We start from the raw sequence: 26,574 nt of genomic DNA, 5'->3' as shown, positions 1-26,574 counted from the left end.
CGCCCCGGCCCGCTGGACAGCCCGGTCTCACCCGCTTCGGGGCGCTCCATGGTCGCGGCGCATGCGGGCGGCGCGTCTGGGCTGGCGGCAGCGGCGGTGGCGGGCCGCGTCCCGGGGCTGGAGGCGAGGCCGAGGCGGAGGCCAGGGCGGGGCTCGGGGCCTGAGGGCGGTGCGCTGGGCCGGCGCGGGGTCCAGCGACAGGCTGCGGGGGCCCGGGCGGCGGAGGCCAGGCCTGCGGAAGCGCGGAGCTTCCCAAGCCGCAGCCCCCGCGGCAGCGGCAGCAGCGGCGGCGGCAGCCGCAGCAGCCGCAGCACCCGCATGCCAGGCCGGACGCCGGAACAAGCCAGAAGGGGCCGACCCGAGTCGCCGGTGGTACCCGGATTCGGGCGAGAGGCGCGGACGCGCTCGGGCAGGGCGGGGGAAACTAGGGCCGGCGACTGCGGCGTCACGGCAGCCCAGGTCGTCTCGACTCTGCAATGCGACGCTGGGTCTTCGCCTGCCTGCCGAGCCCCGCGGCCTCCGACGGCCTTTGGCAGCCCTCATTTATTTCCCGTGGCGCAGCCTTGCCCCTCCCACGCTTTCAAGGGCGAGATTGGGACTAGGATGAAAGAATTCTCTGGCCTGGTGTCTTTTGAGAATCCATGTGCTTAGTTTTGCAATCAGGGTTCTGATTGCAGAATATTTGGGAAGAGCGAAATGTACAAGAACGAGACCTTGTACTTCTGTATAATGAGATACTTTATTTACCTTACTTTTAAAAACTGCAAATTGTGACAAAGTCTCTAATTTTTAACAATGATGTTATGTTTAGACATTAAGAGGAAACCAGTTGCTGGTTCTTGTAGTATAAGGTACTGCAGTGAGTAAATTGGGAGAAAAAGAAATTTACTTAGTTTAAAAAAATAAAAACCTTTCACTTGAAACGGAATGCTATTGGGATTGGTTTTAGTGCGAAGAAACCAGGGGTTAAGAACATTAGGTGCATCCGTCCACAAATTAGCGCCTTTCGTGAATAATAACACTTCGCTTATGTTGAATGCATCGTAGAATAGGGATGGAAGAAAAGAAGACCCCTACACAGCCACAACAGCTGGCGTAAAGGCTGCACACTAGAAGTCGGCAAACTAGTTACTCTGATTTTCAAATAATTCTAACACGTTGAGTTTCTGATGCCCATTTATGGGCTGGTAGGAAAGTACAACCAGTTCCCCTAATATTTATTTAATGCTTGAGCTCTGTGCTGAGGATGTGCAGGTAAGACAGGTCTTTTACTTATGGAGCTGATCATATAATAGCAGAGAAAGAAACATAAGTAACTGCGGAAATAAAAGCTGCAAAAATGTGGTCCACATTCATAGTGAAGAGGATGAGAATATGCCACCCCAAATATGCCACTTCAGCATAAGGATTATTCTTGAGCTTAAAACAGTTCAGAAACTAAAGACTCAGGAACAACTTTGACCTCCCCCTTTCTGCCTAAAAGCAGGACATAAATTTCCCTTCGTAAAGGTGACATAAATTTTTATTTTTAAAGCTTTACCAGGCCGGGCCCAGTGGCTCACGCTTGTAACCCCAACACTTTGGGAGGTCAAGGCGAGTGGATCACTTGAGTCCAGGAGTTTGAAACCAGCCTGGGCAACATAGCAAAACCCTGTCTCTACCAAAAATACAAAAATTAACCAGACGTGGTGACCCATGCCTGTAATCCCAGCTACTCCAGAGGCTGAGGTGGGAGGATCGCTGGAGCCCAGGAGGTGGAGGTTGCAGTGAGCTGAGATGATGCCATTGCACTCCAGTGTGGACAACAGAGCCAGATCCTGTCTCAAACAAACAAACAAACAACAAAGCTTTACCACTCACCCATACCAGAAAGAGGAGAATGAGTCTTACCTGCATAACAAACCCATACATTTTCTAGTAACCTTCCCATACTGCAAAAAGGCTAAGCCCCCTTTTCCTTTGTCTAGCCTCTCCACACTTTATCATCGTTAAAATGGTATAGAAGCCCCCAGTTCTAACTGCCTCTTCGGGCTTTTAGTTCTTTCCTGTGAAGCATCTATGTGCATGTGTAATAATCCTTTTCTCGTCTTAATCTGTCTTTTGTCAATTTAATTTACACAGTCCAACCTAGTGAACTAAATGGGCAGGAGAAAGATTTTTCTTCCCCTGTGGTGTGTACCAAGAGATATATGGAAGTTTCATTCTCTTACCTAAGCAGAGGTAACAGCCCAAATGCCACATATTTTTCACCACCAGTATTATGAATACAGAGTCTTATCAACACCTACCATGTGGAGGAACATTTTAATTACCCAAGTCTGAAAAAGGAATTTTTCACAGAGCTTCTTTTAGAAATGACAGGGAGAAAGGGAAGTACAAGGTGAACCTTGGACATCTTCTTGTGCCAAAAAGCAAAGACAAATGGGGACTATCAAAAACACAAGGACTAGCGAGAAACAGCTTTCTTTGAGCAAATGGGAGATAATCTGACATCATAAAAGGATAACACCTGTAATTATTGTAACATACTGAATACAAAATCTATATACCCATAATAATACTCAAAAAATGAGGAAGAAAAACTAGTAGGCCACCATTAAAGGTGACAAGTACGCAATTCCTTAGTCTCCTTACTCTAAAAATTAAAGGGAAAGAAAGATTTACCATGACTTTTTAGAAGTAGTAGTATGGGAAAGCTGCTTTGCACAGAAGAATTTTCAATAATAAATATAGGAGACATAAAATAATTGGAAAATTACCATTTTGCCACCACAACTGATAACTGATTGATGCAAAGATCATCAATATATTCTAAAACCATTACATGAAAGGTTAATGTGGACCGAAATATTTATAAGTTGCCAAAATACTACCCCCCACAAAATACTTGGTAATTGCTCAGGAGAGAACATATTTTTACTCCATGTAAATAAACCTGGTTGTCACCACCTTTATCGTGATTAAACTCAGCATCATTAATGGTGGACAATCTGTGAAAGCTCCTGTGAAAGCTATATCATCACTGCAAGGTAGTCTTGCCATAAATATTTCACCTGAAGCTGCTAAGGCTTTAAATATAATTTTCAGATTTCCAGAAATACAGGAGATAGAGGTACAAGTAAAATAACATGATGAGGAAAGAATCAGACCAATCCAGAATGTGTGACATTCTAGAAAATAATTGGCTCAGGCTTTTCAAAATCTCGGTGGGGTGTTGTGGTCCAGGAACAGTGTGGTAGCTTAAAACTAAACCCTTCCAATCCAGTTGTTTTGGCACTGTGCCAGTGTATATTGTCCTCTGGGGAGAAAAGGGCTGTGTACTAATAGTCAGGGAGGAATGGGCAGAACATACGGAGGGAGAGGGAAGTGTGGACCAGAGGATCCATGCCCTCATGAGTCGTGCTGCAGGTGAACCTTCGTTAAAGCATTGGGCAACCTGGTTCTTTTTTGCTTTCATAAAACAAATTAATACCTATGAATTCATCTTTTTTTTTTTTTTCTGAGACGGAATCTCGCTCTGTCGCCCAGGCTGGAGTGCGGTGGCGCAATCTCGGCTCACTGCAAGCTCCGCCTCCCGGGTTCCCGCCATTCTCCCTGCTCTACTTCCCGAGTAGATGGGACCACAGGCGCCCGCCACCACGCCCGGCTAATTTTTTGTATTTTTTAGTAGAGACGGGGTTTCACTATGTTAGCCAAGATGGTCTCGATCTCCTGACCTCATGATCCGCCCGCCTCGGCCTCCCAAAGTGCTGGGATTACAGTTGTGACCCACCGCGCCTGGCCGAATTTATCTATTTAATTGATTTTCAATATTAACTGGTTCTGTCAATAACCAAACATCCTATAGGGATTTTTAAGATTTTTAAGCCTCTATGTCAGTTTGCCGATTATCTCTAACCTTAACTCATTCTCAGCACCATTTAGCAGTTATTAAATAGAGTTTGTTTCCCACATCAGTACATTGAACTGTCCTACTGCTGTCACAGGGGACCGCAGCTATGGTCAAGATCAGTAGGAACTGTCAGTGACCTCCTTTGGGGAACAGTCCCTGACCCCACCCTTCTACTTGGGTTAGGTACTCCACCTGAGGGCTTTAATACTCCTTGTGCCCGCTCTGACCATCCCTTTTGCCACATTTTTCTGTTTCATACATTAGACTTTACGCCACTAGAAGGCAAAGACTATGTTTTAAAGTCTTCGTATTCCCAAATGCATAGAGATTTCTCAATGAATAGACATTCAATGAATGAATAAAACTTTTATAAGCATCCAGATCCATTAAGTACTCAGATTTGTCAAAAAATAAAGCAGCACTCCCAGATAAATTTCAAAAAAAAAAAAAAAAAGAAAGAAAGAGAAACAATATCACGGGTAATCTTAATGTCCTACAGTTTTGTTGGCAAACAGCCTGTTGCGTGGCAAGAGTGGCGCCATCTTGAAGCAAAACCTCCATGAAGAGCAATGTCTGGCTCCTGCATGCAAAGGTGTTCTGCAGCAAGGTTTTTAAACCAAGCATCTAGCATAGACAACCCCTCATAAAGATGCTTATCTGACCTCCCCAGTGGTCATAAGTTTGAGATGGGACCAACTGCCCAAGTCTTAGAATACTTTCTGGAGGGTGGATGCGAGGATGTGTAATCTCATGGCCTCTGGAGAGTCACTTTGGTTCATAAGACCCTGTTAAATATTTCTTTCTGAAAAACTGGATTTGTCAGTCACTTTCTTCAGCCTCTCAGCTCCCACAACCCTTCAGGATAGGTTTGCATATACCTGCTCACGCCTGAACAAGCTTCTCCAGCTTAAGGCTAAAAATTAGCCAACATTAACTTTAACATCTAAATGTTTTTTCTTTTTTAAAAATTTTTTAATTTCTATTTTTTTCTTTTTTTCCCTGCAAAGCCAACTGCAAGTATAACATTAACATCTAAATCTTAATAGCTAAATGAACCTACCAACTCATGCCAAGACGCCAGTCCTTTGTGAAATTCCTCCAAAATACTTTTGGGTTTCCAAGTGGTGTCTGGCAAAACTAATCTAATGAATCATTCTAAGCTACCACCTGTTCCCAGCCCTTGCTTCACTGAGTTCCATTTGTCCAATCTTGACTCCGGAAAGTCCTCTGCCCTCGCGCACATCAGCTGCCTGCTAATTCACCTGGCCACAGTGGATTCTCCCAGTCTTCATGGTGACATCTCTTGCAAATGAAAAGAACAAGGTCAGCTGGGCACAGTGGCTCACGCTTGTAATCCCAGCACTTTGGAAGGCCGAAGCGGGTGGACAACCTGAGGTCAGGAGTTTGATACCAGCCTGACCAACATGGCAAAACCCTGTCTCTACTAACAATACAAAATTAGCCAGGCGTGGCGGCACATGCCTGTAATTCCAGCTACTCAGGAGGCTGGAGCAGAGAATCGCTCGAACTCAGGAGGCAGAGGTTGCAGAGGTGCAGTGAGCCAAGATTGTGCCTGGGCAACAAGAGTGAAACTCCATCTCAAAAAAAGAGAAAAGAACAACTTCTCCCTACACATTACACTCTGCTAAGAGTAGAGCAGGTTGAGCTGCATCACAGAAGATTTTTGGGACCTATAAGAATTACAGAATTCCTTGAGATACAGCAAGTTTCTTTACAGACACTGCCCCATTTCCCCCAGAGGGCAAGGTACAATGATTGCTGAAATAATTGGATGGGAAGTGTTCAGGTTCAGATTGCCACACTGTTCCTGAAACATGACCCATTTCTGACTTTCAGGAACTACTACTAAATTGACTCATTCACCCTGCCCGACTCCTTTCTTTATGGTGAGTTCTCTCTTCAGGTCCCTCATTTCTCTTCTGTGATACGGTCCTGACCTAGTGAATTTCTACCAAAACAATTGACTCTGTTTTAATTCTTGCCCTAGGATGTTCCTTGGTCCCCATAGAAACTAAAGTTGCAAATGGTTACAAAAAAGGATGACATCATGCAGTTCTACAAGACACGGCCAAATATCAGTACAAAGCTAACTGGGACCCTTGGTGACCCAAGGTAACTCGGGGTGACATTTCATTTTGCTGGAAGAAGAATATGTGTTTAACATGTAAGCTTTTCAATTAATGTTTGAGTATAATATTTTTAAGAAAGCACTACACCTATTTAATAATAGACTTATTTCAGTAGTCAGACACAGTTGAAGGGCCTGATAATATTTAATAACAGAATGCAACATTTTAAATTATTTTAAATATTTCTAACTACAAATCTAAAATTTTATGTAAGTAACATGTTGTTTTATGATATTTTTAAATTCAGAAAAACTTATGGAATAAAATGTAAAATTATCTATAATTGTATCTTTTTAGACATAGATATACATACACATATAAACACATACTCCTGCAGCATATATTTTATAAAAATGAAATCATGTCACATTATGGCATCATAAGCTACTTTTGTCTTTTACAAGATATTGTGACTAATTTCTCATGTCATTAAGCATTCTTCTATATTTTATATTATTCTTTCAATCATGCATTTTTTTTTTTTTTTGACAGAGTCTTGCTCTGTCACCCAGGCTAGAGTGCAGTGGCATGATCTTGGCTCACTGCAACTTCCGCCTCTCGGGTTCAAGCAATTCTCCTGCCTCAGCCTCCCTGGTAGCTGGGACTACAGTCACCTGACACCACACCTGGCTAATTTTTGTATTTTTAGTAGAGACCAAATTTCACCATGTTGGCTAGGCTGGTCCCGAACTCCTGACCTCAAGTGATCCACCCACCTCGGCCTCCCAAAGTGCTGGGATTACAGGCGTGAGCCACCGCACCCAGCTCAATCATGCATATTATATCCTTATATAAATATATCATAATGTATTTGACCAATTGCCAATGTCATTGTTCAACCTCATTTAAATTCATCTCAGTTTTTCTGTGTTAAAAATAATTCTATGATAAGTACATTTTTCTGTAATTAGTTTAAATTTTTTAATTATTTCCTTTTTTTTTTTTTTTTGAGATGGAGTTTCACTCTTTTTGCCCAGGTTGGAGTGCAATGGCATGATCTCAGCTCACTGCAACCTCCATCTCCTGGGTTCAAATGAGTCTCCTGCCTCAGCTTCCTGAGTAGCTGGGATTACAGGCACACGCCACCACGCCTGGCTAATTTTGTATTCTTAGTAGAGATGGGGTTTCGCCATGTTAGCCAGGCTGATCTCAAACTTCTGACCTCAGGGGATCCGCCTGCCTTGGCCTCCCAAAGCTCTGGGATTTACAGATGTGAGCCACCACACCCAGCCTTAAATTATTTATTTAAAATAAATTCCCAGAAGGAGGTGTGATAGGTAATAGATTCTAAATTATTACAAGCCTTTTGAAATGTGTTGCCAAATTATCCACCAAAAACTTCATGCAAATCTATATGCTTATAAGCAGTTCATGAAAGTTTATTATCCATCCCACTAACCCTCATTTTCTATTTACAATGTTCAAATGGCTGTTATTTTACCTCTTATTTCTTTTATTATTAATAAATCTGCATATTATTTCATGTGTTTCGTAACCACTTGCACACCTCTCTTTATAAAAAGCTTCTGCTTATTTTTCTTCTAAATCGTTTACCTTTTTCTACTACTTTATAAAATCCATTATTTTATTATATTTTTAACTTTTATTTTAGGTTCAGGGGTACATGTGCAGGTTTTTATATAGGTAAACGCATGTCACGGGAGCTTGGTGTACATATAATTTTGCCACCTTGATAGGAGGCTAGTTACTTTTTCCGATCCTCTCCCTGCGTCCACCCTCCACACTCAAATAGTCCCCAGTGTCTGTTGTTTCCTTCTTTGTGTCCACTTGTTCTCATTATTTAGCTCCCACTTACAAGTGAGAACATGCAGTATTTGGTTTTCTGTTCCTGTGTTAGTTTGCTAAGGATAATGGCCTCCAGCTCCATCCATATTCCTGCAAAGGACATGATTTCATTCTTTATTATGGTTGCATAGTATTCCATGGTGTATAGGTACTATATTTTCTTTATGCAGTCTACTGTTGATGGGCATTTAGGGTGATTCTATGTCTTTGCTATTGTGAATAGTGCTGCAATGAATATATATGTGTGCATGTCTTTCTGGTAGAATGAAAATCGATTACTTTAAATACTTTGTCATATATACTGAAAACATTTCCCCTAGTTTGTTATTTGTATTTTAATTCGTATATAGAAGTTTATAATGTGCAGAATTTGAAAATTTGTATGTAGTCTTATGTATTAATTTTCCTTAGTGGTTTTATTTCTTTGCTCTAATGATTTAAATGTTTTCCTTTCATTCCCTTTCATTTAAATGTTTCCTTTCCTCTATGGATTGTTTATAGTGGCTTCTACTTCTTTACTTCTGAACTTATTTGGTTGTATCTTATGAGATAGGGACTTTTTCTCTAAAGAAATCAAATGTCCAAGTGCCATCATGACATACAACCTATGGTCAAGGACTTCAAGGTCTGGGACCAGATGCAGTGGCTTAGGCATGTAATCCCAGCACTTTGGGAGGCCAAGGTGGGCAGATGACTTGAGGTCAGGAGTTAGAGACCAGCCTGGCCAACATCTCTACTAAAAATACAAAAAAATTAACCGGTCATGGTAGCATATGCCTGTAATCCCAGCTACTCAGGAGGCTAAGGCAGGAAAATCGCTTGCATCCAGGAGGCAGAGGTTACAGTGAGCCGAGATCGCGCCACTGCACTCCAGCCTGGGAGACAGAGCCAGACTCTGTCTCAAAAAAACAAAAAAAAAACAAAGCAAAATGAAACAAAAGAACTTCCAGGTCTATTTTCCCCACAAATCTACCTGCCCTGTCTCTTTTTCTCAGGTCATACTTTTCATCAGTCAATCTCACAAACTAAACTATGCTCATGTACTAAGTCCCAGTGAATTATTTTGGCAAAAATAATGGCAGGAAAACACTCTGTACACCTGATATGCAGGCAGCCACTTAGCCATTAAATTACTCCGATTTCTCTTTGTTCAAACCTCAGTTCTGGTCCTTGTAACCACACCATGAGCAGGGAAGGCTAATGGAGCAGCAGAGGGAGACAAGACGCATGAATATGGAGTTCCCTAGGATTCAGGTAGTGTGGCCCATTCACGCCACGAGCATTTAATTCTAAGTATATTAATGTATGCTGCTTCTTTCCCCTGCTTCTCCATGAGGGCAGGGATTTTATAGTCTCCATCCAAAGTCTAGTATGCAGGAGTTTCTAAATAAATGTTTATTGAGTTAGTTATTTAATGAACTTTCTAGAGATTGAACCTAATCTTAAAGAGTCAACTCTAATGGAAGCCAAGGATGGAGATTTTGGAGGTTTGAAGGCCTTTTGGCTGTTGTTTTTGCCTGCTCATAAATCTAATAATACCTGTGGACATTTACTTCTAGCATCATAAACTTGTTACATTTGTGGATATCGACTCAACATTTGCATCGCTAATTCATTCCTCAAGCATTACCCATGAAATGAAGGAATATTGTAATTAGTAATTCTTGGTACCCTGCCTATTTTCAATAAAAGGAAAAAGAAAAAAGTAAGCAAGAAAGAAAAGACAGCCAGCATATTCAATTACAGTATTGTCACATGTAAATAATCTGAGCAACCAAAAATAAGCCATAAATGTGTTTACCAAGATAAATTATTATAAATGATCTCAAGCCTCAAATTTGTCCAGAAATATAACTTATTTATTAAAGTGACTACTTATTTAATAACACAATGCCAATTGGAGAGAGGACACCTTCATGGCAGACAGAACATTTTTCTAAAATCATGTCATGTAGAAAATTATCCTAATGCCACATAGCCTCCAAGTCCACTGCCAGACAAGCTATCACAGAGATCATGGAAATGAAAGACTTCAAGACCAAATTAAACTGTTCACATCAACAGTTTATTAAATCAACTTAAAACACATAGCGAGAAAAGGGGGAAACAAGCAGCATACATTAATATACTTAGGATTGGATGTTCGTGGCATGAATGGGCCACACTACCTGAATCCTGAGGAACTCCATATTCATCCATCTTGTCTCCCTCTGCTGCTTCATTAGCCTTCCCTGCTGGTGGTGTGGTTACAAGGACCAGAATTCAGGTTTGAACAAAGGGTTCCATATATTTAAGGCTGCCTAAGCCACTTGCTGTATTGGAAGGATGCAAGGACAAGTACATCTGGCCACAGGGGCCTCATATATATGCAATGACTCATGATTATTAGGCATTTCTTTATCATTCCATCCCTTTTAACATGCATCTACATTTAACATATACATACATACTTTACTTACTAACCAGTTATCTATGTGTAACACATCTTAGTTCATTAATTTCAGTTTTCTTCTATAACAGATCTTAATGTTCTCAAACAATATAACATGTGCATGTTACAAATCTCTAACACAATTCCCTGACTGCTTAATCGGCTGTTGTTGTACCAAACTTTTATAACTCATCTTGAATTTCAACTTGGCATGAAAATCCTCCAGAAAGTTTGGCCTCAACTTTTGGTGTTCATTTATTTTTCCTAATAGTGACCAGCTCTGATTCTGGTTATTTCCAAAGTAACAGTAAAAGGAAAATGTTGTTTACCTATCTAGATTTTCCTCTCACTCCTAAGATCTGTACGTTTCCCACCCACTTAGATCCTTATTAAAAACTCCTTTACTTGAAATGCACCTTTTTATTCATCCTTGCTCTTCTTAATTCAAAAGAAAGAAGGAAAGAAGAAAGAAAGAGAGAGAGGGAGGGAGGGAGGGAAGGAGGGAGGGAGGGAAAGAAGAAAGGAAGGAAGGAACTAAAGAAGGAAGGAAGGAAGGAAGGAAGGAAGGAAGGAAGGAAGGAAGGAAGGAAGAAAGGAAGTCAGTTAGTTTATTAAGGTCTCAGCCTGGGCCTATTATTAGGTGGAACAAGTGTTCTCATTCACCTTCCTTTTCCCTCATTTGAGTTTTCTGTAGCCAATTCTGCCACAAAAATTTTGAATTTCCACAGTAGGCAACCACGAGAAAGCACTGCCTCCCTGTTCTCCCTCAGGACTTTTGCTGAATATATCACAGGCAGAGTGACCAGCTGTCCTGGTTTGCCCAGGACTGTTCAGTTTTAGCACTGAACGTCCCATATCCCAGGAAACCCCTCAGTTAGAGAGCCAGGAAGGGCTTGGAAGGGGAGGTAGTATTTAAGACCAGATTTGAAAATGAGTGGATTAAGGGCACAATACATTCCAGGGTTGTGAAGACAGGACTGTGCAGGTAGATGCTAAAGAGAGTGGGTCTACCAGTTTGGCTGGTTTGAGTGACGGAGGACTGGGAGACAAGGCTGGAAAATTTGGTTGGGACCAGATTATGGAAAGTCTTAAATGCCAGGCTAGGCAAATGGGACTTTATTACATCAGAATTGGAATTTGTTCAAGAACTCTGACCTTGGAACTGACATGATGAAGGATAACTCTGGAAAGACACATCTTTCAGGTCTGTGCAGGATTTATTGGAGGGGACAGAGAATCAAAGCCCCAAGCCCAGTTAGTTCACTGCCATACTACAATAATCCAAGTATAAGGGACAGAAATCTAAACAACAGTGTTGGCCTAGAAATGAAATAAAAGTGATAGAGTTAAGAGTTTGCAAGACAATAGTAAGTGAAACTCAGCAATTGATAATGTGGAGAAAGAGAAAGAGTTGGCTGATGCCAGAACATTAGAAGCAGAGTGAATTGGGTATTCCCAGAGAAGCCCAGAACAAAGAGGATGAGGAGTGGAAGAATGGAGAGAGGGGTGAGAGCGGAGTGAGCAGGATGGCGGACAGTGTGTGCTGAGGAGTGGGATCCTTCCCTGGATCTCACATACCTTCAATAAAGTCAATAATTAAGTTCACCACTCTTAGTTGTGAATGATTTTGTTCTGGAAACCAAGGAGATGGCTGAGAAACACAGAGCACACGAGGACCCCCTGTGCCTAGAGGCTGAAAGAGTCCTGTGATTATAAACCCCTAAGAATTGGCAGAAATCTTAGGGAGGGGCTAGACTTTCACATGCCATCAGAATTTGAGTCCCTTTAACTAGATCTTCAGAGGTGGGAGTGACATTGAGCTAAATTCTATTTAAATCCTAAAAAGGAACCAGTAAAGAGAGACAGAAAAGGAAAAACACTGGCTGGGCGCGGTGGCTCATGCCTATAATCCCAGCACTTTGGGAGGCCGAGGCGGGTGGATCATTCAAAGTCGGGAGTTCGAGACCAGCCTAACCAACATGGTGAAACCCCATCTCTACTAAAAACTCCACCAGGCATGGTGGCACGCACCTGTAGTCCTGGCTGCTTGAGAGGCTGAGGCAGGAGAATTGCTTGAACCCAGGAAGTAGAGGTTGTAGTGAGCTGAGATCGCACCACTATACACCAGCCTGGGTGATGAAGTGAGATTCTGTCAAAAAAAAAACCAAAAAAACCAAAACTGAATAATGGGGGTGAGAGCTATAGAGTCTGTTCAAATGAAGGCAGTGATCTCACACAGGATGGAAGCAAGTTAAGGAAAGATGGGTCCTGGTAAGTATTTGGATGGGTCGTGATTAAGGGAACTACTTTCTAAAGATGTCAATTTGCTTGATGGAAATAAGTGAAGTCATTTGCTGGGAGGAGAGGAAGACACTGAGGAAGGACTCTTGGCAATTTGGAAGTTATAGGTGTACAAGTGATCATTGAAACTATGGATGTGGATGAGGTCACCGAGAGAGGGTATATAAAGTTAGAAAATTAGAGGGCTGCAGACGGAAGACCTTCACTATCTTTGCGATTAGAATCTGAATTTTTTTTTTTTACATTTTGTCAGCTGCCTGAATTATTACATACTTAATGCATTTCTTCTTTTCTGGCCAAGAATAAGAAATAAACACTGTTGAGGACATTTACATCCAGAACATTGATTCTTTTTCTTCAGTTAAAATAAAAGAGATCATTTACTTATTACGAGGTATACTCTAGCTTGTATTATTTACTCAGAAGATAATGATGTCTTATATTGTGGATTTTGAGATAATCTCTATTTTTATACACTGAAGTAGTTAGTGTTCCTGACCACATTTTGAGCAAATGCCAGATTGGCAGATTAGGCTTAACAGCTCTAATTAGGCTTCCTGAATTTGATTAGTGCTAGGGATTAGTTTCTTCTTTGATAGTTTATTTCACAAGATTTCTTAGTTTGAAACTGTGTTTTGCTGACTATTTTTGGTATCATATACATCATATAAACCATCATTATACATTCCAATAGACCATTCTTCATTGATGATTTGTTGTTGTTATTCCCTGGTAAGATTTTCTGAATACTAAAAGGAAAATATTAAGAGCGATATCAAATTTCACTTTCTGGGTCATCAGGGCTCTATATTACTATTTGTTGGTTTCATTATCTTCCTAACGTGCCGGAAATTATTGATGCAGTTTATGTTCAAACTTCTCATTGTTCATTCTAAAATGTGTGTTACAATTGTTTTTTCAGGAAGATATTAACATAGATTATAGTAATAGGATATTAATATCTGGGCTAGCAGATTTTACATCTTATTCAACTTAGTCATCTCATTGCTTATTTGGCATAAGTATTCCTCGTTTTTTAGTTGTGCAATTGATATTTAAAACAGGCATCATACAAGCCTTAACTGGCAATGCTAATCTTATTTGCATTCCAATTAGAGTATAATTGACAATTACACTATGAGGTTTTCTTTGAATATTGTAAGAATTAGAAGATACAAGAAGTGGAAAAAGTAGTAAAACTTTAAGAGTACTAGAGAGAAATAGAATCAGAGTGGGAGGAAATTTGAGTCTATTTTCCCTTACACAGTAAAATATTTCCTTACAGATGGTCATCTATTTGAATACATGGTCCAACTAAAAGCTCTTTGTCTAAATATTGTGTGGTTTCAAACGGCAAATATCTTCATTGTCTATTGATTGATCTAGTAATATAGTGAAAGACAAAATAATTATAGCCAACCAAACTGCAAAAATTCCTTTACTATAAAGTATTAGCTACAAGGCAGGCATGGTGGCTCATGCCTGTAATCCTAGCACTTTGAGGGGCAAAGGCAAGTGGATCCCTTGAGCCCAGGGGTTCAAGACCAGCCTGGGCAACATGACAAATCCCATCTCTACAAAAAGTGCAAAAATTAGCCAGGCGTGGTGGTGTGCACCTGTAGTCCCAGCTACTTAGGAGGCCGAGGTGGGAGAATCTCCTGAGCCCAGGGAGGTGGAGGCTGCAGTGAACTATGGTTGAGCCACGGCACTCCAGCCCAAGTGACAGAGTAAGACTCTATTTCAAAAAAAAAAAAAAGAAAGAAAATATTAATTACCCAAGGTCCTCTGATTTTTTTCATTCTTTTATCACTTCAGAGTAACAGTAAATTTTATAGACATAATTTATATATATATAAACCATATATAATACTATGCCACTTTTAATTAATATCTTTCAAATATCTCTCTCAAATAGGTATTTTATATATATAATAATTTGTATTATATTATAATGCCTTATTGTGTTAATATGCAATCATTTGTTTAACCAGTCCCCAAATCTTGAGCATTTCCAGTAGAATCCACTTACAAATATCCTTGGATTTTTTTCTCTTTCATTTGTATCATTTTCTTGATCCATATACCAAAAGTAAATTTATCAAATTAAGAGGAATGTTCCATTTTATGGGGTTTTGGGGGTTTTTTGTTTGTTTATTTTTGTTGGTTTTTTTTTTGCGTAGGTAAAATATGGTAGTCATATGATGACAATCTATACAGCAATTACAGAGGATGGACTGATCTACATTAACTAACATGCACAGATCTCAAAAACATCATTAAGCAAAGCAAACAAATTGCTAAACAATTCAATATACCATTTGCATTAAACACACTATTTCCAATGAGTTCATATATGTATGTAAAAATATTAAAGTCTAAATGGAAGTATAACAAACATAACAGCCATTAAGAGGGGAAGGGACAGGAATGGGGAGTGGTTGGTAGCTGAATGACAGTATCTTTATAACAACCTAGTTTCTCAAAAGGATAATGAATTCATGCATTGCTTGGGTAATTAGAATGGATTTAACTTTTAAAACAAAAAAGCTGGCTGGGCACGGTGGCTCATGCCTATAATCCCAGCACTTTGGGAGGCCAAGGTGGGTGGATCATGAGGTCCAGAGATCGAGACCATCCTGGCCAACATGGTGAAAACCCGTCTCTACTAAAAATACAAAAATTTGCCTGGCATGGTGGCACATGCCTGTAATCCCAGCTACTCAGGAGGCTGAGGCAGGAGAATTGTTGAACCCAGGAGGTGGAGGTTGTAGTGAACCGAGATCACGCCACTGCTCTCCAGCCTGGCGACAGAGTGAGACTCTGTCTCAAAAAAAAAAAAAGCAAAAAAGCCATATACAGATTTGAATAAAAGAGTGATGGTGTTCATGAATGAGTGAAGGCTGAGCTCATCGCACCAGGCTTTGCTGCCTCTGCATGACCCTTGTAGCTAATGAGGTTAGTTCCTAAAAGGAATCTCACACGTGTTAGGCTGGGATGTGGCCCAGCATACCTCTCCCCTATTTCCTCACAACCCAGATTGGTGCTCAGCCACCCGGTTACCATACATGATTGAAGCTACAGGCTTCCTCAGGCGCTCCACTTACCAAGTAGACCTCATCAGGGCCCTGAAACTTTTATTTTTTTACTTTATTTTATTTTATTGTATTTTTTAAGAATAATAAGTAGCATAAAAAGCATCTGCTTCCCCAAAGCCCTTACTACACTGGGTTTATTATTTACTTGATGTTTTCTAAATCATCAGCAGTGCTGACATTTTTCTATTGGTCAAATATTTATCAAATGCCTAATAAATTCCCAAAAACTCACTGTGTCTTGTAAATAGGCATCATTTGTTCAAGGGGCAGCATGGCGAAGTGGTTAAGGGTATCACTTTGAAAGCCGGATTTCTATCTGTGAAAAGCTTTAGAGGCAGGCCTCCCATACTATTACAGTTTCCTGTAAAATTAAGTATGAGCTCTTCAGCTGTGGATCTGAGGCCTGCCACAATTCATTTCTACACACTTTTTTTTTCTCATTGATAATTATTCTCTAACATCTTTCAAATGGATCAAATTAATAATTTTTTGTTCCCTAACTATCTTTGAAAACGATGTCCAACAACTATATTGTAGTGTATGATACTCACTTCACCTAAAATGCCTTCTGTATCACCTGAAGGAAAAGTTTCAGTCTTTCCTTTTATGACCATCTCATATATCCCCTTCATCTGATCTTTCCAACCAAATAAGGATACTTTCTACTCTGAAAACTTCCTCTGCTTTATTTTTACCTCTTTTGGGGTGATTAAAATATTTTAGCTTTCATTATAAATAATTCTCTTACGAGATAGTTAACACTTTAAGGGAGTCTAACACTTTGCTTAGCACATAGGACAGATTTGATTTTTTTTCCAAAATAAATGATGAATTGACTGATCCATGTTCACACACCGAGGCCTCATTTCATCTGTGCTAAAAATGTGAAGTAGCAAATCCAGGAAATTTCCAGATAATTAAAAAAATTAATTGATTTTCTAGCAATTTCCTGACCAAAGCCTTGAAGAAACTACACTTCTTTTTTTTTTTCTTTTTTCTTTTTTTTTTTTTTGAGACACAGTCTGGCTCTGTTGCCCAGGCTGGAGTGCAGTGGCACAATTTTGGCTCACTGCAACCTTTGCCTCCTGGGTTCAAGGGATTCTCGTGTCTCGGCCTCCAGAGTAGCTGGGACTACAAGTGTGTGCACCACACCTAGCTAATTTTTTATAGTTTTAGTAGAGACAGAGTTTTGCCATGTTGGCCAGGCTGGTCTCGAACTCCTGATCTCAGGTGATCCACCCGTCTCGGCCTCCCAAAGTGCTGGGATTACAGGTGTAAGCCACCATTCCCAGCCTTCTCTTTTTTCTTAATCAATATTTGCCTCATTTTCTCTGTGGAAATGTGACTTTCATAGATCCCAGGGTTGAATCTCAAAGTGTTTGCCCCCAAGACCTTGATGTAATCGGACAAAAGGAAGAAACGCATCATTGGCTTCATTCCACTGTCTGGAGGGCTTAGCACTTTATATCCCTCAACCCTGGCCTCTGGTGTACTCTCCACAATTACTGGGCTCTTGTTTGTTGACCCCTCTCCAATGTATTTGACTTATTTTGGATTGATTGCGTCCCCCCTGCAACCCCTTCATTCCATTTTTTCTCCTCTTCTAATTTGGAAGTGATATTCTCTATGTTGATTGTTTTAAAGGAGTTATCCTAAATAATTAACAGGCATACTTAAAAAAATCTAAAGTTAATGTCTTTACCTTCTCCCCAAATAACACAAGGACCTTCAAAAATTTTAACTTCGACTACTGCCCTGAATTATATGCTGTTATAATCTCTCTTCTCTCTGACAATTGTTAAAAATCATCTCTTTATCTTTGGAGCTTTATAGTTTTAGCAATCTAAGCATGAATTTATTTTACTTATTCTGCTTGAAAACATTGGGCTTCCTGATTCTGAAAACTGGTATCTCTCAAAAGTTTAGAAAAAGCACCCATTTGCTATTTTATTATTGTCTATTTCCCCATAATCTTTTTCTTTCCTTCTTCCAGAACTCTAATTATGTTACGAAGTCTGACTTTGTCCTCAATTCCCTTTAGACTCTCTATACAATAGTTCCCCCTTCTCTGTGGTTTCACTTTCCATGTTCAGTTACTCACAGAACAGTACAATATATCTTAATATTTTGAAAGAGGCGAGGTGTGATGGCTCACACCTGTAATCCCAGCACTTTGGGAGGTTGAGGCAGGCGCATCACTTGAGGTAAGGAGTTCAAGACCAGCCTGGCCAACATAGTGAAATCTTTTCTCTACCAAAAACACAAAAATTAGCTGGGTGTGGTGGCATATGCCTATAATCCCAGCTACTTGGGAGGCTGAGGCATGAGAATCACTTGAACCCTAGAGGCAGAAGTTGCAGTGAGCCCAGATTGTGCCACTGCACTCCAGCCTGGGCAACAGAGTGAGATTCTGTCTCAAAAACCAAGAAAAAAAAGATATTTTGAAAGAGAGGGAAAGACCACATTCACATAATTTTTATTATAGTATATTGTTACAATTGTTCTGTTTTATTTTTAGTTATTGGTGTTAATCTCTTACTGTGCCCAATTTATAAATTAAACTTTATCATAGGTACATATGTATAGGAAAAAACAGTCTTATATATGTAAGATTTAGTACTATTTGCAGTTTCAGGCTTCCACTGGGGGGTCTTAGAACATATTCCCCTCAGATAAAGGGGGACTACTGTATTTTCCAACTCTTTGTTTCTCTGAGCGTAATTTTAAACAAGCCCATTAAATGTTTCCTCCAGTTCACTAATCCTTTCTTCAGCTTTGTCTAATATGCTATTTCTCCAGCTTTTGAATTTTGAACTTCAGGTATTATATTTTTCATTCCTAGGCCATCCATTTGGTTCTTTTTCAAATCTACTTGAATTTTTTCTAGTCTATTGTTCCTGTTTGCAGGTTTTTACTTCTTTAAACATACTAACCACATTATTTTCTAGTCTATATTTGATCATTCTAATATCTGAAATCTTTGCATATTTTATTATAATAACCTTTCTGGCTTTCTTTCTGGTTCATACTTACATTACCTTTATTTCTTATATGTTTTGTGTTTTTTTTTTTTCATTGTGAGCTTGTATTCGATCTTTATCTGAGGAAATTCTTTGAAGCCTGGTTTGAAGTTGCATTCCTCCAAAAAGAATATCGTTTTATTTGTGTCACCAGGGGGCACTATTAACCTGGAACAACTTAAATTCCTTACTTGGCGTTTCATACTACATTGGTAGGGTTGCCAAATAGAATACAGGGCATCCAGTTATGTTTACATTTCAAATAAACAAGAAATTATTTTTTGTGCAATATTTGGGACATACTTATACTAAAAAGTATTCATTGTTTATCTGAATTCAAGTTTAACTACGGATGCTCTATTTTTATTTGCTAAATTTTGCAGCGCTATGCATCACTAGCTTGAATCTGGCTTTAGACCCACATAAGCACTTGGTTGAGTTTATGAATTCTCAGAGAATTTTTTTTCCTCTTCTCCCAGGGCAAAAGTTGAGAGAGGCAAGTTTTCAATGTCTTCTTCTTTAGATAGACATATTTCTTGCTCACTTGTATACTGAGAGTGTTGCCATTAGAAACTTAGCTCTATGCAGGGATCACCTATTAGATTCCTCACCATAGGCCGATCTGTTATCCTCTGCATACCATTTCTCAAAATGTAAATTCAAGGTCCCTTAGGTTGACCCTTAGGGTGAAAACGTGCCTCAGAAATCATTTACCTTTCAGGAGTCTTTTCTTTTCTTTTTTTCTTTGTTGTTGTTTCCATAGATTCCTTACAGTTTTGCCTGCTATATAAAAGCATTTAACATATTATTTATATAGTATATTCAGTACTTGGAGGTTTTTTCAGGCGGCCAGTAGGAGAGAAGGTATTGGGAGTGGGGCCATTCAGAGTATCTCAAATGCTATTCCATCAGAACTAGATATCCTTCAATCCATTCCTGCTGAATCTGCCTTCTGGTATTCTTGGTGTCTCCTTGAAGTTACAGTGTTCCACAACAGTACGTGGGTCTATTCCAGAGTAGTTAGTATCGTGTGTCTTTGCTTTCATACTCTGCAAAAACTGGTGATCTCTCCAGTGACAGAGTACAAGACCTTGCTCTAAGCTCAATCTAATGACTTGGGCATGGTACCACATTAATTTCCTACCAGTGCTCTTTCTCTGAGGCTAGAATCTAGTTCCCTGTGACCTAAATTCTTGGGGAGTTCTACAGTGTATTAATCTAATGCTGCCACCACCACTACCTCAATACCTCAGCATGTCTTCTGAGTTAGTCCTCAGGAATCCCATTCAAACTGGTGTGTCTTAACTACAGTTTCTGGAAACACACCTAAGATTCCACATGGGATTAGCCTTAGATTAGTTTTTTAGTTTCTTTTAGGAAGATCAGTTTTCAGATCAGGATTAGATTCCACTGGGCAACTCTACCTTCATGGGTGAGTGACTAGCAGCTTCTTCCTCGTCCCTATCAGTCCCAGTGTCAGAGGTTTAGTTTGTCTTTCTTCCAGGCCCACCCAGCACAATACACCTTCAGTGGTGTGCTAGAGCTGGCTTATACCAGATTGCAAGAGTCAACTTTTAAACTTTCAGGAATCTTGAGTGCTGGTTATTAAGTCCAGCTATTATTAAAAATTAAATTAGGGAGACATAATCAAATAAATTATATTTAAAACAATGGTAACTATAAAACTCTTAGAAGAAAACATAGGAGTTAATCTCTCTGCTTTGGATTAGGCAATGATTTTTTAAATACGACATGACATCAAAAGTGCAAACCACAAAAGAAAAATTAAATAGGCCGGGCGCAATGGCTCATGCCTATAATCCCAGCACTTTGGGAGGCTGAGGTGGGCAGATTACTTCAGGTCGGGAGTTCGAGACCAGCCTGACCAACATGGAGAAACCCCACCTCTACTAAAAATACAAAAATTAGCTCGGTATGGTGGCGCATGCCTGTAATCCCAGCTACTCAGGAGGCTGAAGCAGGAGAATCGCCTGAACCCAGGAGGTGGAGATTGCAGTGAGCCGAGATTGCGCCATTGCACTCCAGCCTAGGCAACAAAAGCAAAACTCCATCTCAAAAAAATATAACTAAAACTAAAATAAATACATAAATCAAAATTTAAAAGTTTCATGCTTCAAAGGACACTATCAAGAAAGTGAAAGTACAGCCGATATAATGGGAGAAAATATTTGCAAATCATACAAGGGCCTTCAAAAAGTTCATGGAAAATGCATATTATGAAAACATTATGCATGGATTTCAAGTTGTTTTTGCACCAAAATAAACTCATACTAACTTGTTATAAAATATCTGAAGAGGATCTACATTGGGACACTAAGAAGGCTAAGACATCAGTTTGAAAAGAGCTTCTATCAGAGCAATATGACTTCTGCTAAAATTGAAGCAAGAATAAACATCAAATTTATGGTGAAATTTTGGTGAGAGAATGGTGAAATCATTAATGATTTACAAAAAGTTAACGAGAACAATTTCCCAAAGAAATCAGCAGTTTACAAATGGATAACTTGGTTTAAGAAGGGATGAGACAATTTTAAAGAAAAAGCCTACAGTGGGAGACCATCACATCAATTTTCAAGGAAAAAAATTAATCTTGCTCTTGCCCTATCTGAAGAGGATTGACAAATAACAGCAGAAACAATATCAATACCATAGGCATCTCAATTGGTTCAGCTTACATGCTCCTGATTGAAAAATTAAAGTTGAGGGCTCAGTGGCTCATGCCTATAATCAAAGTGCTTTGGAAGCCCGAGTGGAAGCATTGTTTGAGGCCAGGAGCTTGAGACCAACTTGGGCAACATGGTGAGAACTCATTGCTACAAAAACAATTTTTTTTTTTTTTTTTTTTTGAGACGGAGCCTCCCTCTGTCACCCAGGCTGGAGTGCAGTGCGCAATCTTGGCTCACTGCAATCTCTGCCTCCTGGGTTCAAGCGATTCTCCTGCCTCAGCCCCCTGAGTAGCTGGGATTACATGTGCCTGCCACCACACCTGGCTATTTTTTTTGTTTTTTGTGTTTTTAGGAGAGATGGGGTTTCACCATATTGTCCAGGCTGGTCTCGAACCCCTGACCTCAAGTGATCCACCCGTCTCAGCCTCCCAAAGTGCTGGGATTACAGGCGTAAGCCACCACACCCGGACAATCTCCTACTGGCTTTTATTAGTTGTACGTCTTTATGCTGTTTTTACCCAGTCTAAATTTTACAGATAAAACTTGTCTGAGTTCAGTGGCTTACACCTATAATCCCAGCACTTTAGGAGGCCAAGATGGGCGGATCACTTGAGGTCAGGAGTTCAAGACCAGCCTGGCCAACATGGTGAAACCCCGTCTCTACTAAAAATACAAAAAAAAATTTAGCTGGGGGTGGTGTCAGCGACCTGTAATCCCAGCTACTCAGGAGGCTGAGGCAGGAGAATTCCTTGAACCTGGGAGGCAGAGGTTGCAGTGAGCCCAGATCACACCACTGCACTCTAGCCTGAGCAACAGAGTGAGACTCCGTCTCAAAAAAAAAAAATAATAAAATTAGCTAGGTGTTGTAGCACACACCTATAGTCCCAGCTACTCTGGAGGCTGAGGTAAGAGGATTACTGGAGCCCAGGAGGTTGAGATTACAGAGAGCTAAGATTGTACCACTGCACTCCAGCCTGGGTAACAGCGTGAGACCCTGTCTCTATAACTAAACAAAGCAAAACAAAAAAGCCTTTAAAAGGCATCCATTTTTCTTCAGTTAATAATGTAAGAAAAACTACATTGACATAGTTAAATTCTCAGGAATCTCAATTATTTAGAGATGGACTAAATAAGTGGCTGGTGTTTTGGCTTCCAAAAGTGTCTTGACTTTGATGGAGCTGATGTTGAGAAATAATGTTTATATTTATCATTTTTATCTTTTAATTCCATTTTTCCACGAACTTTTTATTTTTATTTTTTTTGAGACGGAGTCTTGCTTTGTCACCCAAGCTGGAGTGCAGTGGCGCGATCTCAGCTCACTGCAAGCTCCACCTCCCGGGTTCACACCATTCTGCCTCAGCCTCCCGAGTAGCTGGGACTACAGGCACTCACCACCATGCCCGGCAAATTTTTGTATTTTTAGTAGAGACGGAGTTTCACCATGTTAGCCAAGATGGTCTCGATCTCCTGACCTTGTGATCTGCCCGCCTCGGCCTCCGAAAGTGCTGGGATTACAGGCGTGAGCCACTGTGCCCGGCTCCACGAACTTTTTGAAGTCCCCTTTTATATCTGATAGAAACGTATATCCAGGATGTATATAAAAACCTCCTATAATTCAATAATAATACAAAATCCGATTAAAAAACAGATAAAGGATTTTGGGTACAGTGGCTCATGCTTGTAGTCCCAACATTTTGGGAGGCTGAGGCAGGCAGATAACCTGACATCAGAAGTTCGAGACCAGCCTGCATGGTGAAACCCCGTCTCTACTAAAAATACAAAAATTAGCTCAGCATGATGACATGCACTTGTAGTCCCAGGTACTCAGGGGGTTGAGGCAGGAGAATCACTTGAACACCGAGTGGCAGGCACTAGGTTGGCTATAATTTTAAAAGACAGACAATAAAAAATGCTGGCAAGGGTGTGGGGAAATTAGAAATGTCCAGTATAGCAAATCCACAGGGACAGAAAGTAGATAGGTGTTTGCCTAGGGCTGGGAGAGGGGTGTGGCTGCTAAGGGTTATGGGGTTTTATCTTTGGAATGATGAAAATGTTCTGAAATTAGATTGTGGTGATGGCTGCAAAACTCTATATAAATATTCTAAAAACTATTGAACTGTATACTTTAAATGGATGATCTGTGTGGTGTATGAATTGTATCTCCATAAGCTGTTAATTTAAAAAATGTAATAAATATGCAAACATATCACTTTCTAATTATTTTACAACATTTTACTATTGTCTAAACTCCTGAGGTTATTTACCGAAAGATGATGCCCAAGTGGCCCCAGGACATAGAATCAAATTGTGTATGATATTAAAACAACAAGAATTGTTTATCTCAACTAATATCTTGTTTATATCTTTGTAACAGACAGCCAGATGGTAGTGAGTGCTAATACTGTGTACTAATCCTTTAGGAGGACTAGTTTGCTTGAGGTTTAGACACAAACAGGAATGATCTGTGCCATTATAAGAAATATAATGATGTCATGAAGGGCTTTATGATAAATAAAATGATTAGAATATGGTATTAAAAATATGTAGCCATTTATCCTATTGCATTTCATCAAGAAATATTAAATATTATAAAAAATGCAAAAATGAATTTTCTCATTCTTGCAAGCAGTCAAGTCTCAGCCGGAAAAATGGAAGTCAATTTAAATATTTAAAGATAAAAGGCTTTAATTTACAGAGAATTAGGTATAGGTACTGTACTTATAAATTTTTGCAAGGGCATAAGGAATGAAAGTCGGAGGAGCTGCCACCAGCTTTCACATTCACAGTCCAAAGAATCTGAAACTTCTTGCTTTCATGCAGAAGTCAGGAGGATGTAAGAGACTGAAATCAATAGTCATGATTGCCCTGAAGTCCTGGGGTGAACGACACAAGGGAATATAGAAGTTGCTGCAAAAAGTCACAACTTCGGGCGGGGTACAATGGCTCACATCTGTAATCCCAGCAATTTGGGAGGCTTGAGGTGGTACGATTGCTTGAGGTTAGGAGGTCGAGTCCACAGTGAGCTATGGTGGTCCCACTGCACTCCAGTCTGGGTGATGGAGTGAGACCCTGTCCCCCCCCCAAAAAAAATAGTTACATCTTCTTAAGTCCACATGTCAACCAACACAATTGAAGAAAGAGGAATGGATTCTGTCTTCTGCCTTGTAATTTAAGCACAAGTACACCTCATGGGCAGAATCTAAACTGTATTTGGTTTACAGGGACTATGAAAAGACAGTTCTCATTCATCAGCCCCTGACATGAAGGGGTGAGTATCAAAGGAAATAGAAATAGTGCTGAGTACCAACAAATCATATATGACTTATTTCCCTCAAGGGTAGTCAGGTAATTTTTTGAGACTGTATATAGCATGAGTTTGGGGTTGTTCTTATTGATAGGGGATGCAAGTTGCAGAAATTTAGTTTTTCCCTGAGATAACATCTTGACATGTCTCGAACCATTAGATTCCTAGACAGTTTACCAAGTTGGCAGGCCCTGAAGTTTGTTGGGAGATTATTTTCCACCTTCTATCACACATATAAATATATATGTGTGAAATATATATATATATAAGAATGTGAATTCCTCTCACTTGGTCCAGTCATCATTATGTCACTAATGTAGTGGGCCAGTGTGAAGCCCTACAGGATGACAGGACTATCAAAGTTCCTAAGGGCTAGATTAAGACTGAGAGCTAGAGACTTGGCATAGCTCTGAGACAGGACTATTGTGTACTGCTTACACTTCTGTGTAAATGTAAGGGGCTCCTGTGATCTTTACTTATTGGTATAGAATGGGAGTCAGAAGACTAGAGTCTGCAGACTGGACATTTGTTTTGTAAGTAAAGTTTCTTTGGAACACAGCCATGCCCATTCATTTACATATTGTTCGTGGCTGCTTTCACCCTACCATAGCATATTGAGTAGTTGGGACAAAAACCTTTACAGACCAGCCAAAATATTGCCCTCAAACTCAAGATAAACAGAAATAAAACAAAGTCTTAAATTTAAATCTAAAACAAAACCATGGCCCCTTTATGAAAAACATGGGCTAAAATGTATTAATAATGGTTAAAACCAAGTGCTTTTTTTTTTGAGAGATTTGCAATAATTAATACCTATTTAAGTGGGTTTTCCCCCTAGGTCTTTATATTCTAGTATAAAACAGCCAGAGCTGGGCTGTTCTCTTAACCTCTGATCAAATAAGCCTGTTTAGAAAAATCTATGTGTTTTGCTTATATCATTGGGCAAAGTAATTTGTAATATATGATTGACATAATAAATCATCACTTCTAATAAAGCACATTTTTAGAAAAATAAAATTTCTGTGCACCTGTTTTAAAAAGCTCCAGTGCACTTTCCAGCTCAGTCAGAATCCTCATTTGGAATTAACTGGGGGTCCCTGGTTCCTGCTGAAGTTACATATTGACCTGAATGAAACAGGCTGGCCTCCAGCATAGACTCCAAGCTCTGTGTTTATTGAGTCAAGAGTAAGGATCTTCTCTCTCTTAAATCTAGTGGTGGGCAGGGAGAGGACAGGGGCCAAAGATAATTGACTGACCTTTTAATTTATATTGCCATTTGCAGACACTTTTCTTGTATTTTTGAATTCTTATTTTGTCACAATAATTTGAAATTATATAATGCTTCCTAGGTTAGTGAGCATTTTCAGAAACATCATTTGATATCCATATCAACTCAGAAAGTATTTTCTTCTCACATGTCATAGATGAAGTTCAGAAATAGTCAGTAAATCATCCAGGTTCACAGAAAACAAGACCAAAAGTTACTAATACTCACCAAGCATCCATTAGATGGCAGGCACCATCTCAAGCCAGAACTCATATCTTGACTTTTAGACTCTGTATTAGTCCGTTCTCACACTGCTATAAAAATAATATCTGAGACTGGGTAATTTATGAAGAAAGAATTTTCATTGACTCACAGTTCCCCATGGCTGGAGAAGCCTCAGGAAACTTATGATCATGGCAGAAGGGGAAGCAGTCACCTTCTTCAGAAGGCAGCAGGAGAGTGAGTGCAGAAAAAACTGTCACCTTTAAAACCATCAGATCTCGTGATAACTCCTTCACTATCTTGAGAACAGCATGGGGGAAACTGCCCCCGTGATCCAAACACCTCCCACCAGGTACACCTCCCTCCACATGTAGGGATTACCATGCGAGATGAGATTTG

At 39.9% G+C, this 26,574-nt stretch overlaps 1 protein-coding gene and 1 long non-coding RNA gene across 23 annotated transcripts in view, besides 3 other annotated features; one reads left to right on the top strand and one right to left on the bottom strand.

The window, feature by feature from the left end:
• AKAP7 (A-kinase anchoring protein 7) overlaps positions 1-10,187 on the bottom strand; it is a 157,906-nt gene extending 147,719 nt beyond the window's left edge. For 20 of the 21 annotated variants that reach the window (NR_164833.1, NR_164832.1, NR_170717.1 and 17 more), the window contains exon 1: positions 32-347. Coding sequence is in view for 13 of the 21 variants with exons in the window: in XM_047419568.1 (XP_047275524.1) it covers positions 32-320 (289 nt within the window). In the remaining 8 variants the exon portion in view is untranslated. Of the gene's footprint in view, positions 1-31; positions 348-10,016 lie in introns of those variants that run through there. The other variant, XM_017011509.2, reaches the window with a different exon arrangement.
• Positions 40-149: a silencer, noted in NCBI's record as "silent region_17545". NCBI's record gives its function as "represses an Ori minimal core promoter by ATAC-STARR-seq in GM12878 lymphoblastoid cells {active_cell/tissue: GM12878}" and the evidence as "EXISTENCE:reporter gene assay evidence [ECO:0000049][PMID:35858748]".
• Positions 216-716: an enhancer, noted in NCBI's record as "H3K27ac hESC enhancer chr6:131456238-131456738 (GRCh37/hg19 assembly coordinates)". NCBI's record gives its function as "activates a minimal SCP1, AML or CMV promoter by ChIP-STARR-seq in naive H9 embryonic stem cells {active_cell/tissue: H9 hESC(naive)}" and the evidence as "EXISTENCE:reporter gene assay evidence [ECO:0000049][PMID:30033119]".
• Positions 300-389: a silencer, noted in NCBI's record as "silent region_17544". NCBI's record gives its function as "represses an Ori minimal core promoter by ATAC-STARR-seq in GM12878 lymphoblastoid cells {active_cell/tissue: GM12878}" and the evidence as "EXISTENCE:reporter gene assay evidence [ECO:0000049][PMID:35858748]".
• The window catches only part of LOC102723445 (uncharacterized), a 45,370-nt gene continuing 24,248 nt past the window's right edge, over positions 5,453-26,574 (top strand). For both annotated transcript variants that reach the window (XR_428022.3, XR_942994.2), the window contains exons 1-2: positions 5,453-5,799; positions 5,901-6,077. This is a non-coding gene — a long non-coding RNA (uncharacterized LOC102723445). The remainder of the gene's footprint in view (positions 5,800-5,900; positions 6,078-26,574) is intronic.

Source organism: Homo sapiens, chromosome 6 (assembly GCF_000001405.40).
Source record: "Homo sapiens chromosome 6, GRCh38.p14 Primary Assembly".
NCBI lineage: Eukaryota > Metazoa > Chordata > Mammalia > Primates > Hominidae > Homo > Homo sapiens.
Note: the sequence above shows the minus strand (reverse complement) of the source record. Positions and strands in the feature narration are given on the sequence as shown.